Source organism: Homo sapiens, chromosome 15, assembly GCF_000001405.40.
Source record: "Homo sapiens chromosome 15, GRCh38.p14 Primary Assembly".
Classification (NCBI taxonomy): Eukaryota; Metazoa; Chordata; class Mammalia; order Primates; family Hominidae; genus Homo; species Homo sapiens.
In genome coordinates, this window is record NC_000015.10 from 78,433,278 (window position 1) to 78,446,703 (window position 13,426).

A 13,426-nucleotide genomic window follows, 5' to 3' on the forward strand; every position below is an offset into this window, starting at 1 on the left:
ATTTCCTGAATTTGATCATTTTTAGTAGATACATGATAAAGTACTCAGGACTGAAGGGTCATAATCTCTAAAATTTACTCTGAAATGGTACCAAAAAAATGAGAATAAGAAATAGCCAGGTGCAGTGGCACACATCTGTAGCCCCAGCTACTTGGGAGGCTGAGGTAGGAGGATTGATTGAATCCAGGAGTTGGAGGCTACAGTGCACTATGATCTTGCTGTGAATACCTACTGCACTCCAGACCAGGCAACACAGTGAGACTGTGTCTCAAAAAAAGAAAAAGAATAAGAAATAATGAGGATCTTATCTCTGAAATAGCAGAGAGGGAGAGAGAGACAAGGCAAATGTGGCAAAATGTTAACAGTAAATAAATAAACCTAATTAAGGTATATATGAAGTTTTATTATAATTATCTTGCAATTCTTCTGTATTCTTGAATTTTGTTTTTCGAAATAAAATGTTTAATTTAAAAAGTAGAGATGGGCCAGGTGCAGTGGCTCATACCTGTAATCCCAGCACTTTGGGAGGCCAAGGTGGGCAGACAGCTTGAGTACAGAAGTCGAGACCAGCCTAAGGAACATAGGAAAACCCTGTCTCTACAAAAAATACCAAAATTAGCTGGGCATGGTGGCGTGCGCCTGTGGTCCCAGGAACTCAGGGGCTGAGGTGGGAGAATTACTTGAGCCCAGGAGATGGAGGTTGCAGTGAGTCGAGATCACCCCACTGCACTCCAACCTGGGCAACACAGTGAGACTCTCTCTCAAAAAAAAAAAAGGAGAGGTGAACCAGCCTGGACATTGCCCGAGACACTGATCTAAAAGGGTGCTAAAATCTCACTGGAAATGTAACTTGAAAAAAAATGTATAGTGAAAACATACCATAAGCTTCCATTTGCATAGCATTCAAAATAGGGTGTAGGGGATGAGGAAATGGCAGCCTAGGAGGAAAACAGCTGCGGTTATAAAACGGCAACAGGAAGGATCCTTGGAAATGTTCCATATCTTGACTGTAGTGATGGCCACACAAAGCCACACACGTGAACTAAATACACACGTGCATGTGCGCGCACACACACACACACACACACACACCCTACAAAGGAGTACATGTAGAACTGCCTAAATCTGAGTAAGGTGGAATGATTGTATGAATGTCAATTTGCTCGTTTTTATATTGTACTATGCTACATGGAGAAAGACTAGGTGAAGAGTATACGGGATCTTTATTACTTAGTACAACTACATGTAAATCTACAATTGTCACAAAATAAGAATGTTTAACAATAGGTAAATTTTATGATATTTAAACTAAATCTCAATAAAACTGTTAAAGCTGACTGAGATGGCATATGCCTGTAGTCCCAGCTACTTGGGAGGCTGAGGTGGGAGAATCCCTTGAACTCAGGAGTTTGAGATCGGTCCAGGCCAAATAAACAGACCTCTGTCTTAAAATAAATAAAATTTTCAAAAAGTAAATAAAACTGTTAAAAAAAAAAAAAAAGTAATGAGTCCAGCCACACGGGAGCATATCATGATTGTTCTAAGTTAGTGCTTCTCAGTGGAAGCGGGACACTGAGAAAATGGGTGTTTTTGTTTGTCACCATCATGGGGCACTTTTGGGATTCAATGAATGTTAGATTGCCTGCATTCCACACTATAGAATTACACAACAAAGAATCAAACAAGGGCCAGGCCCGGTGGCTCACGCCTGTAATCCCAGCACTTTGGGAAGCTGAGATGGGCGGATCACGAGGTCAGGAGTTCAAGACCAGCCTGGCCAACATGGTAAAACCCTGTCTCTACTAAAAATATAAAACTTAGCTGGGCATGATGGCACGTGCCTGTATTCCCAGCTACTCAGGAGGCTGAGGCAGGAGAATTGCTTGAACCGGGACCCGAGGGGCGGAGGTTGCAGTGAGCCAAGATCATGTCACTGCACTCCAGCCTGGGCTACAGAGCAAGACTCCGTCTCAAAAAAAAAAAGAATCAAACAAGACCCATACTGTCAGATATTCAAGTACATTAAACATACACACAAACATAAAAACAGTAACAACAAATTTGTTTATAATTATCTGAGCCTAGAGTTTAACCCCATATACAAGTAAAAACAAAAGTAATTTGTGTATGGTTTTAATATATACGGAATTTTCTAGGAATACAACTATTGCATAAAAAAAGCAAAGGTTTTTTTTTTTTGTTTTGAACTTTATCAAGAGTTATTCACCATTTCAGAAAATCACAATAGTGACAACACTTCCAATATTTAAGTCACTAACATATTTTCATTAGTCTTTAGAGGCCATTCATGATATATATGTACATTTTATACATATGTGCATTTACCATATATGCATTCATAATATATATTTATGCATGATATGTATGTATATATTGAATCCTTATTTTGCAATGTCAGACATAAAAAGTGTTGACCATATTCAGCTGAATATTATCTTTTTTTTTTTGAGACGAAGTCTTGCATTGTTGCCCAGGCTGGAGTTCAGTGGTGAAATCTCGGCTCACTGCAAGCTCCGCCTCCTGGGTTCACGCCATTCTCCTGCCTCAGCCTCCCGAGTAGCTGGGGCTACAGGCGCCTGCCACCACGCCCGGGTAATTTTTTGTACTTTTAGTAGAGACGGGGTTTCACCGTGTTAGCCAGGATGATCTCCCATCTCCTGACCTCGTGATCCGCCCGCCTCAGCCTCCCGAAGTGCTGGGATTACAGGCGTGAGCCACCGCCCCGGCCTTATCTTTTTTTGAGACAGGGTTTCATTCTGTCTCCCAGGTTGGAGTGCAGTGGCACAATCATAGCTCACTGTAATCTTGAATTTCTGGGCTCAAGTGATCCTCCTGCCTCTGTCTCACGGTAGCTGGTACTACAGGCATGCACCACTATGTCTGGCTAACTCTTTAAGTTTTTGTAGAGACAGGGTCTCACCATGTTGCCCAGGCTAGTCTCAAACTCCTAGCATCAAGCGATCCTGCAGCTTTGGCTTCCCAAAGTGCTGGGATTACAAGCTTGAGCTACCAACTGTGCCTGGCCCAGTCGAATATTATATGTCCTGTAAAACCAAACTCATTCGTTATAAATAGATACAAGCATCTGACTACTCAATTTTGTCATCTAATATAGACATGCCTGTGCAGCTACGTATTATAATACATATTATTTTCTAATAAATTACTTTCCTATTTTTCTCCTTTATATTACAGTTAGGTCATTAAGTAGATTATTTATCGTGTATGTAGATTATATTACCTATGAATTTCATGCTGGGATTGTAAAGGAGATGTTACAAAATATAGCAAGGTGAATAAAGGAAATATATTGGAGTTTGGGTTGACAGGGCTTGGATCAATGATTAAAGGGAGTGGATGAAGGAGTCAGGTATAATGTGTTGATTTCTGGCTTGGGCAACCAGGTGGATGGTGGCGCCATTCGCTAATACAGGCAATACAAAAGGAATAGTAGGTTTAAGGAGGGAAATGACGAGTTCAGTTTTGGAGATTTTTAGTTTGAGGTGCCTTGGGATGTGGAGGCATCCCATGGGTACTAGGATATACACCTCCGGGTTTAGGAGATAGGCTCAGGTCACAGGCAGACTGGGAAGCATCAACATATTAACTAATAACTGAAGTCAAAGGAAGTGTGAGATGGGCCAGGGAAAATGGACAGAGGGAGGAGGTACAAGGCCAGAGCCCTGGGACACATTTAATGTCCAATATATTTTTTTTTGAGACAGGGTCTTGCTGTGTTGCTCAGGCTGGAGTGCAGTGGTGCAATCATGGCTCACCACAGCCTCAATCTCCTGGGCCCAAGTGATCCTCCCACCTCAGCCTCCTGAGTAGCTGAGACTACAGGTGCATGCCACCACACTCAGCTAATTTTTAAATTTTTTTTGTAGAGATAGGGTCTCACTACGTTGCTGTGTTTGGTCTTGAACTTTTCAGCTCAAGCCATCCTCCCACTTTGGCCTCCTAAAGTGCTGGAATTACAGGCATGAGCTACTGTGCCCATCAAGTGCCCAGTACATTTAAAAGCTGGGCGGAGGAAGAGGTCTGCAGAGGAGCCTGAGATCAAGCACCCTTAGGAGAAGAAACAAAAGTAGAGTCTGAAGTCACAGAAGCTGATGGAAGAGTATTTTTCAACAATGGGAGAGAACCAGTCAAGATTGAGATATGTGAGATTAGAAAGTGGAGTTATAGCTGGCCTTGGCTAAAGGCATTTCTGGGAGTGGAAGCCAGACTGGAAGAGGATAAGAAGTGGGTGGGGGAGAGCCGAGTATGAGCGACTCTTTCTGGTAAGTTGCTGCGACAGGAGATAATGCTGGGTAGGTGGAGAACACAGGGACCGGAGGAGCTGAGGCGGAAGGATGGAGAGGCTTAAGCATGTGTTAACTGCCACTGGGAAGAAGTCGGCAATCACGGAAGCTACCGGAGGGTAAGAAAAAATTCATTCATTCAACAGTTGAGCGCCTCCCACGCGCCCGATCAGTATGGCCGCCCCCACTTGAAAACACGCGTGTGGGCCGCCCACGTCTGACAAGTTAATGCAAGGCTTTATAGTTAGGGGAAAGCGGTTCTCCTTGAGCTCTTTCTCCTAGCAGTTCCGATTCCGACCCTGACTCCAACAGACACCTTGCGGGAACGCAAACACCGCTCGAATTCATGACCCCAATAGAAAACTTAAGGCCGCAACTAAGTAACGGATCGCTGCGAAGGCCAAACTAGCCACGCCAACGCCCCCACTGGAGCCTCCCCAGCGCTCCGCCCCCGCTCGCGAGAACAGCGGCGACGGCGCGAGAAATCGCTTTCTGGTTAGCTCCGCCCCTTCCCTTTCTTTGTTTTCCTGTCCGACGATCTCGCGGGAGTTAGGCGACAAATCCCGCGAGCGCAGACCCGGGGCTGGCTCTGCTGCTCTCGCGATATTTGCGCGAGCCTGCTTCCTTCTTTCCTCCCTTGCCAGTCCGCCTGTCTTCCTCCCCGTCTTCCCTGCCCGGCCTCCCCCTTCTTCCCCCGCTGGCCCCCTCCCCGGAGGGATAATATGGTCTCCGGCGATGGACGCCCCAAAAGCAGGTCAGTTTCGGGCCTCCGAGCTGGGTCTGGCAGTTGGAAACGCGCGCTGCCTAGGCGCCGAATTCCTTGCTTTTCTCGCCTGGAGTCGCTCGGCAGGCGCCCAGGCCCTCGGGGCTCGGGTTGTGCTCCCCTCGGGGCCTGCCTGCTGGGCCGCCCTTTGAGCCTAGGCCGCGGAAGCTGGGGCTCCCGATCCCCACCCTCCTGCGCGACACCCGCAGGGCGGGCCACCCCACCGCTGGCCTTGACCCGCACCCCTCTCTCTCCGGTGGCCGCTGCCTGCTGCCAGCGGCTTCCTGGCCCCCGTCAGCAACACCAGGGGCAGGGAGAGGCCCACCGTCTTCTCCTGCCCGCCCCCCATTGGCGAGCGATGAAGGCGGGGGCCTGCGTCTCCGTGTTCGGGTCTCACGCAGCTAGATGTTGATTCCACGGTCCAGCCTAAGGCCCCTCAGTCTCTCTGTGCCTCTGGAAGCCGAATGAGGGGCAGTCAAGGTTGAACATTGGTCAGTCAGTTCTCCGACCATTTATTGCACCGCTGTCTCCTCCCCCGTCCACCTCCCTCTACAAAAAAAAAAAAAGAGAAAAAAATACTATTCATTCTGAAAATGGGCTGTGCTTATGTTTTCTCCTTTTGGATGAAAGCCTTAACAATGTTGAGGGTCCTGGCCACCCACCGCTATGAGTCTGCACAAAAGATCTGAAGGTTCTTTTCAACCTCAGGGCTGCCTCCCCGCCACTGCCCCCTAGAATGTTGGGAGCTGAGGCACGTTTAAATGAGACCTCTGGATCTTTGACTTAGTAGTTCAGCTTCAGTTCGTGCAAAACCAGAAGACTTGTCTCTTTCGGGTAGAATATGCTAATTTCCTAGAGATTCTGTTACTTTTATTTTCAGTACTAAGCCCTGGTAAGGACTTAACTGAGAAGTTTTTTTGTTTTGGTTTATTGAATGCTCTGTAAAAATCCGTCTTTTAGTTTTTTTTTTTAATCAGTCCCTCTAATGTTAATTGTGGAATTCACAAATTCCTGTCTCTGCAGTTTTCAAGACATGTCTTTCCAAAACGTCCCCGTGGATTATTTAAATCATTCTTATTGTCCCTTTCCAGGTATTCTTATCACATTTCAGGAGTGAATTATCTTACTAGTTTTTACTTGACAAATTATGGTTTAGAACTATGCTTTCCAGTGTGGTGGATACTAGCCCTGTGTGACTTTAAATTAATCAAAATTAAATAAATTAAAAATTCAGTTCCTCAGGCACGATAGCCACATTTCAGGTGCTCAATAGCCACACGTTGCTAATGGCTACTTTACTGGACAGCTCAAACATAGAATATTTTTACCATTGCAGAAAATTCTATTGGATAAAGCTAGTTTCCAGGTATTTTCAGCTGAATAAAATATTTTGTTGCTGCATTTAATGAAAATACAATTTTTTTTTCAGGATACGCCTTTGAGTACCTTATTGAAACATTAAATGACAGTTCACATAAGAAGTTCTTCGATGTATCTAAACTTGGCACCAAGTATGGTAATGTTGCTTTACATTTTCTTGGGTTTGTTTAGTCTCTAATAATGAAAATGCATTTGTCAAGCTGAGCTGAAGAAATTTTAAATGTATTTCCACCGTATTGTAACAGGTACACCTACACATACCTATACCATTTTAAAAACTCCTCCTGGGACAACTTCTGTTCAGGGAAGATGTAGGCCCACACCTTAACTTCTCATTTAAAAATCTAAGTTAATTAAGCACTAGTTTTTCCCCTCAAAGAAACCAATAATGCAGTTTTCAAACTTTTTTTTTTCTTGTTTTTGTGAAGACAGGGGTCTTGCTATGTTACCCAGGCTAGTTTTGAACCCCTGGGCCCAAATAATCCTCCCACCTCTGCCTCCCCAAGTTTTGGGATTACACATGTAAGCTACTGCGCCTGGCCTAATGTGATTTTTAGAAGAACCTGACTGACTGATGATAATTCTACACCAATTAAATGTATATTTTATTTTCTCTTTTCTTTTCTTTTTTTTTTTGAGACAGAGTCTTGCTCTGTTGCCCAGGCTAGAGCACAGTGTTGTGATCATAGCTCATACAGCCTTGAACTCCTGGGCTAAAGCAGTCCTGCCTCTGCCTCCCAAGTAACAAGGCCTACAGGTGTATGCCAACACATTTATATAAAAACATATTTTTATATTTTTTGTAGAGTTGGGGTCTTGCTGTGTTGCCCAGACTAGTCTCAGACTCCTGACCTTAAGTGATGCATCTGCCTCAGCCTCACAAAGTATTGGGATTGCAGGCCTGAGCCACTATGCCTGGCCTGTTTTACTTTGTCAAATGAACAGTGCCCACATCTATTCTTTTTGCCATCTGTTGAATAGGAATCACCAACAGGACCCATTGATTTGAATTTTTCTGAAGTATTGGGCATGGTTTGCCCCAACCTACACACCTGCAGTTTTGGCAGACATTCTCATTGACCTTATCAGGGTCAAACCTTTCTCTGTGGTCTCAGAAGAGTGAATGTGGGCGACCTATAGGGCATTGAATGGAAGTTTTGACTTTACTAACAGTTGAGTAACTTTCTCAATTGGGCCAATAGAGAGACCTCTTTAGAAGACTCATTATTCTTTGTGAACTTTTCCATGACAATGACATGAAAAGATAAATTGAATGCCACATCTGTTGCAGTCAGTTTTGGAAGGAGCTTTAATCTTGTTTTTTCTTGCATTATTTAATTAAGACGATTGTTCTTGTGATTTTTCTGTAGATTTTGAGGAATTTAAATATTCTTGACTGCTATGTGCAATATTTTTTGTGTATTGTGAAATACAGCTATTTTGGAGTATCTTAAAGAATCCCCATTTTAGAATTAGGCTGTCATTTAAAAATAAACAGTTTGCCAAAATGAGAGCAATATCCTTTACCTTGCATGTTTAGCTGCAGTGATTTGTGTTGATACGTTTGTTAAAGGAAGTTGGTCATTTTCTTAATGTATGTCTTTCACATTAATTTTATCCCTTCACTGATGGTGAGTTTGCATTAATTTTGAAAAGAAACAGCTAGATTGATCGTTTACAAGAATAGTCATTTTATTTCCCATTTACTTCTCCAAAATAATCTAGTGATACTGGCTTGGAAGTCTTTTAACCCAAATTTCATAGTTTAATAAATTAAAGGAGCACATAAGATGTTTTGAAAATTGAGTATAAATACTTTCTGTGTATAATCTGTAGAAATGTGCTTACTTGAAGGAAGATGACCTAAATTTCTCAAATTTAAGGAATCAGTAGGAAACTGTCAAAAACAACTGTAAAATGCATTGAAAGGGAATGATTGATAATCTGAAAGTTAAATTTTCCCTGGGAAATAAGTTGTCATGGGAATTTGTACATAACTGTACAGAGTACATGTGTACTTAACATAATTCCAGAATTACCAGTTTTTATAACCATGATAAATGTAATAATAGAATACCTGTGACTATAAATACTTTCAAAACAGAAAGTTGGTTTTTATGTGGGGTCAGTACCCTGGTTTTTATTTTATTTTATTTTATTTTATTTTACTTATTTTTTTGAGACAGGATCTTGCTCTGTCACCCAGGCTGGAGTGCAATGGTGTGATCTCAGCTCACTGCTGCCTCTGCCTCCTGAGTTCAAGCGATTCTCGTGCCTTAACCTCCCAAGTAGCTGGTACTATAGGCGTGCATCACCACACCCAGCTAGTTGTAGAGATGGTGGTTTTACCATGTTGGTCAGGGTGATCTCAAACTCCTGACCTCAAGTGATCCACCCACCTCAGCCTCTCAAAGTGCTGGGATTACAGGAGTGAGCCACTGCGCCCAGCCCCTCCTGCTTTTTTAATAGAGTGCTTATTATGAGAGGTTATTAAGTAATAATTACTTAAGTAATTTCCTAATAAGGAATAAAATTTGAAGAATTGACTTTGAAAGAAAGGAACAAGTTAGGTAGGAAGTATTTGGTTGTTTAACCTTAGAACAAAAAATCCTTATTGCATTTTTGAAAGGATCAGATTGAATTGCCTCCTAGACATATGCTTACAAGAAGACATTGCTTTGGTAGTCACCAAGGTACAGAGCCAGTCTTCTCCACCTCCATTCCACATTTTGATGCCTGCTAGGTTGAGAATGACTGTTGTAATGAGTAACGATTAATGAAGGGAATGGATTCTATCCCTCATAAATGTTACAGAGTAAAGATAGTTGAGAAACACTGTTCTAAGCTCCATGCTGACTATGTCAGGGATGCCTGCAGCTGCAAAGAACTGAAAACTTGCTGTCCAATGACTTTAAGAAATACGAGTTTATTTTTCTAACATAACGAAGTGTGGAGATTGGCAGACTGGGGCTGTGCAGCACCAATCTCCGCAAGGATCTAGGCTCGTCCTTTCTTCCCGTTCTGTTTTTATTCTTTTGGTTGCACCTCCAGGCATTATGTCCAAGTTAAATTTTCCCTGGGAAATAAGCTGTCATGGGAATTTGTACATAACTGTACAGAGTACATGTGTACTTAACATAATTCCAGAATTACCAGTTTTTATAACCATGATAAAAGCCCTCTCCAGGGGCTTTTGCCTCTTTGGCCAAAGTATCAGTGGCCACTCTTAGCTTCAAGAAGGCTGAAAGATGGAATAATCAAGGTCTTCTCTTACTCATGGGGGATATGTTCCAAGACCCTCAGTAGACACCGGAGACTATGGGTACTACCAAACCGTGTATGTACTGTTTGGTATATATTTTTTTCTATACATACATAGCTATGATAAAACTTAATTTATAAATGAGGCACAGTAGAGATTAATAATAACTAATAATAAAATAGAACAGTTATAACAATGTACTGTAATAAAAGTTATGTGAATATGGTCTTTCTCTTTCAAAGTATCTTATTGTGCTGTTCTGCAGGTAACTGAAACCACAGAAAGCCAAACCATAGATAAGATGGGGTACTGTATTTTACCTTTACATCTTTTACAATAGAGAAAGGAAAGGGAGAAGTGGTTGGGAGTGGGTGGTGAGTGAACCAGCCTAATCTATCTGCGTTACCAACCTGATGCCTTCTCTTATTCTGACTTTAGATAGAGTTCAACACAGATTATTTGATTTCTGCTTTTTTACTGCCATTTTATCCTTTTGCTTCCCAAATTTATACTCAGGGTATCTCTATGGAAGTGGGCACATCTTAGACATTGATTACATTTTGATCTTGTATGATTTTGCTTGTGGGGAATCTCCTTTGTTTTTTTATTTTTTGTGGGGTTTTTTTTGTTTTTTGTTTTATTTTGTTTTGTTTTTTTGAGACAGAGGCTCGCTCTGTTACCTAGGCTGGAGTGCAGTGGCATGATCTTGGTTCATTGCCACCTCCATCTCCAGGGTTCAAACGATTCTCGTGCCTCAGCCTCCCAAGTAGCTGGGACTACAGGTGTGTGCCACCACATCCGGCTGATTTTTTATTTTTAGTAGAGATGGAGTTTCGCCATATTAACAAGGCTGGTCTCAAACTCCTGACCTCAAGCAGTCCTCCTGCCTTGGCCTCCCAAAGTGCTGGGATTATAGGCGTGAACCACTGCACGCAGCCAGTTGTGGGGAATCTCTTTAATATTCTGGAGCTGGCTGTCTGGCACTCCCAATGTGCTGACTAGAAACATGTCAAAATCTAGGTAGTCTCAAAATGTAGATTTTGAGTAACTCTTTAAAAAAAAAAATTATAAAGATGGAGTTTTACTGTCAACCTGGCTGGAGTGCTCTGACATGATGATAGCTCACTGGAGCCTTGAACTCCTGAGCTCAGGAGATCCTCCCACCTCACCCTCTCAAGTAGCTGATTTGGGTGACTCTCTTAAGTAGATCTCTGAATTTGAAACTATTGCTATTTTTAAGGAGTGGAGAAATCAGTGGTGTCTCCATGTATGATGGAGGACAGTTAACATCAGAGAATTAGAATGAACAGCATAATGGAAACATGAATGACTATGTTGAATGAAGGGGAAGATGGTGGAGAGACTGGCCTGGCTGGAGTGAAAGGTAGTTTTGAGAGAGTACCTGTTACTGGGCAACAGGGCCTCTGGTGGTGTAAAGCCCCCAGGCACCCTTTATCTCAGGTCATCTTATTCACCCTTTCTTTTGTCCTTCCTGTCTGCTTGCCTTTTTAACCACAGTACTGCTTAGTCCTCCAGTAGAGCCGGGACTTAGTGTCCAAATCCTACCTTGCAGCCTTTGGAAGAAAATCCTGTATTTAATTTTTTAGGAGAGTTTTTATCATTTAGAAGAATCACAAAAAGACAAGAACATTGCAGATGGTACAGAAAGTCTCATTTTTATGTGTATACAAAAATATATGTAAATATGCTACTTTTAATAAAAATAAAGTATATGTTGTTTTGTAACCCTTTTTTTCACTTAATATATCATGAACATCTTTCCATGTCATTGAATACAGGTATCCCTTGCTATCTGAATCTACTTGGTTTCTGAGTCAGGGAGCTTGAGTTCAGGTAGAAAGGGATACCTGTACTTCTCTGTGGCTTCTAATAGCTGCACAATATTGCCTGTATGAATGCATTGTGGTTTAGTTAACAGACCTTTGAATATTGAGGCTGATAGTAACTTTTCTCTATTTATAAATAAACTTTGTATGTGCTAATACTTACATTTTTGTGCAAACTTATCATTATATAGAATTGTTGGATTGAAAGTATGTTATTTCCTCCACCCCATCACACGCTTTTATTTTTATACTTTCACTATTTACTGTTGGTTCCAGTCTTTATTTTTTTTTTTTTTTTTTTGAGACAGAGTCTTGCTGTGTTGCCCAGGCTGGAGTGCAGTGGCACAGTCTCAGTTCATTGCGTCCTCCAACTCCTGGGTTCAAGTGATTCTTCTGCCTCAGCCTCTGGAGTAGCTGGGATTACAGGCCCATGCCTTCACACCCTGCTGATTTTTGTATTTTTAGTAGAGACAGGGTTTCGCCATGCTGGCCAGGCTGGTCTCGGAACTCCTGGCCTCAGGTGATCCACCTGCCTTGGCCTCCCAAAGTGTTGAGATTACAGGCATGAACCACTGCACCCGGTCTGGTTCCAGTCTTTACCTTGGACTAAAAAGAACAAAAACTCACTCAAGTAAAAAATAGGTTGCAGTTTCCAGACATCCAAAGACAAAGGAAGAAAGCATAGTCAAGTTTCAGGGAACCAGAATTTCTAAGCCAGAGGCAGTGTTCTGTTTGTCACTTAAAGGCTGCCTGGTTTCCTTATTTTCTGTTTCTTTTTGAATATCCAGTCTTCCATCTCTACAGCCTACTTCACTTACTCATTTTTGTATAATGCCCAATATGGCCACTGCTGACCATTCTTGTATGTTATGACTGGATTACTAACCGGTTAAGAGTGTACCTCTAGGTGACTCTTTTACTTGTTTTGTTTTGTTTGTTTTGTTTTTTCCCTCAGGGTCTTGCTCTGTTGCCCAGGCTGGAGTGTAGTGGTTCGATCATGGCTCACTGCAGCCTGGACCTCCCGGGCTCAAGTGATCCTCTTTCCTCAGTCTCCCAAGTAGTTGGGACTACAAGCACATGCCATCATGCCTGGCTAAATTTTAAATGTTTTGTAGAGACAGGGTCTCCCTACATTGCCTAGGCTGGTCTTGAATCCTGGCTTCAAGTGATCCTTCTGCCTCAGCCTCCCAAAGTGCTGGGGTTACAGGTGTGATCCATTGTATCCAGCTCACCTGTTGTTTTAACCTATTTTGACTGCACTTGTCAGGAGTCTATTGCCGGTCTGGTGATCTTGCTGGTAGAGACACAAATCTGTTCATCTTGTCTTTTATGTGGACTCTTGAAAAGACTGGGTTGGGTAAGCAATGTAACAGTTTGCTTGTAATTTGTACACATAGTACATAACTTTCCAAGGATTACCTTTACCTAACATCATCCTACTAGTCCATGTATAGCCATGTGCTCACCAACCCTCCACATTTCAACTTTGTTTTTATTGCCAATTTCTATTCTAGATTAGGCCCTTTTGGTTCCAAGGAACAGACACTAGCTCGAGTGAAGAAGGATTTATTGTAATGATACAGCGCTCCCCAGGCCAATGAAATGTGGCTGTCTCTCAAGAAAATGGTGGTGGCCCAGAATTAAGGAAGTTGTTTATTATTTTCTCTTAGGAGCTTCAGATTTCTGCCCTGTTCCACTCTTCTGCTTCCTCCACTTCACTATAGACAAGCCTCCTCTGCCTGCTCACTTTGTACATGGCCTCAAATGGCAACCTCAGTCCCTAGCTTAGCTCTTAACACCTTTCCAGTTCAGTCTCTCTGTGTCCTGATTACACATTTCTGAGAGGTGA

General features: G+C 42.4%; 1 protein-coding gene across 5 annotated transcripts in view, besides 3 other annotated features; it reads left to right on the forward strand.

Annotated features, from left to right (window-relative positions):
* The first annotated feature begins 4,153 nt into the window (after positions 1-4,153).
* The window catches only part of IREB2 (iron responsive element binding protein 2), a 64,023-nt gene continuing 54,750 nt past the window's right edge, over positions 4,154-13,426 (forward strand). For 3 of the 5 annotated variants that reach the window (NM_004136.4, NM_001320941.2, NM_001320943.2), the window contains exons 1-2: positions 4,939-5,079; positions 6,518-6,604. In NM_004136.4, the coding sequence (NP_004127.2) occupies positions 5,061-5,079; positions 6,518-6,604 (106 nt within the window). In that variant the 5' untranslated portion in view covers positions 4,939-5,060. Of the gene's footprint in view, positions 4,445-4,938; positions 5,080-5,143; positions 5,580-6,517; positions 6,605-13,426 lie in introns of those variants that run through there. The other 2 variants (NM_001354994.2, NM_001320942.2) reach the window with 2 other exon arrangements.
* Positions 4,474-4,553: an enhancer, noted in NCBI's record as "active region_9917". NCBI's record gives its function as "activates an Ori minimal core promoter by ATAC-STARR-seq in GM12878 lymphoblastoid cells {active_cell/tissue: GM12878}" and the evidence as "EXISTENCE:reporter gene assay evidence [ECO:0000049][PMID:35858748]".
* Positions 4,624-4,683: an enhancer, noted in NCBI's record as "active region_9918". NCBI's record gives its function as "activates an Ori minimal core promoter by ATAC-STARR-seq in GM12878 lymphoblastoid cells {active_cell/tissue: GM12878}" and the evidence as "EXISTENCE:reporter gene assay evidence [ECO:0000049][PMID:35858748]".
* Positions 5,154-5,393: a silencer, noted in NCBI's record as "silent region_6711". NCBI's record gives its function as "represses an Ori minimal core promoter by ATAC-STARR-seq in GM12878 lymphoblastoid cells {active_cell/tissue: GM12878}" and the evidence as "EXISTENCE:reporter gene assay evidence [ECO:0000049][PMID:35858748]".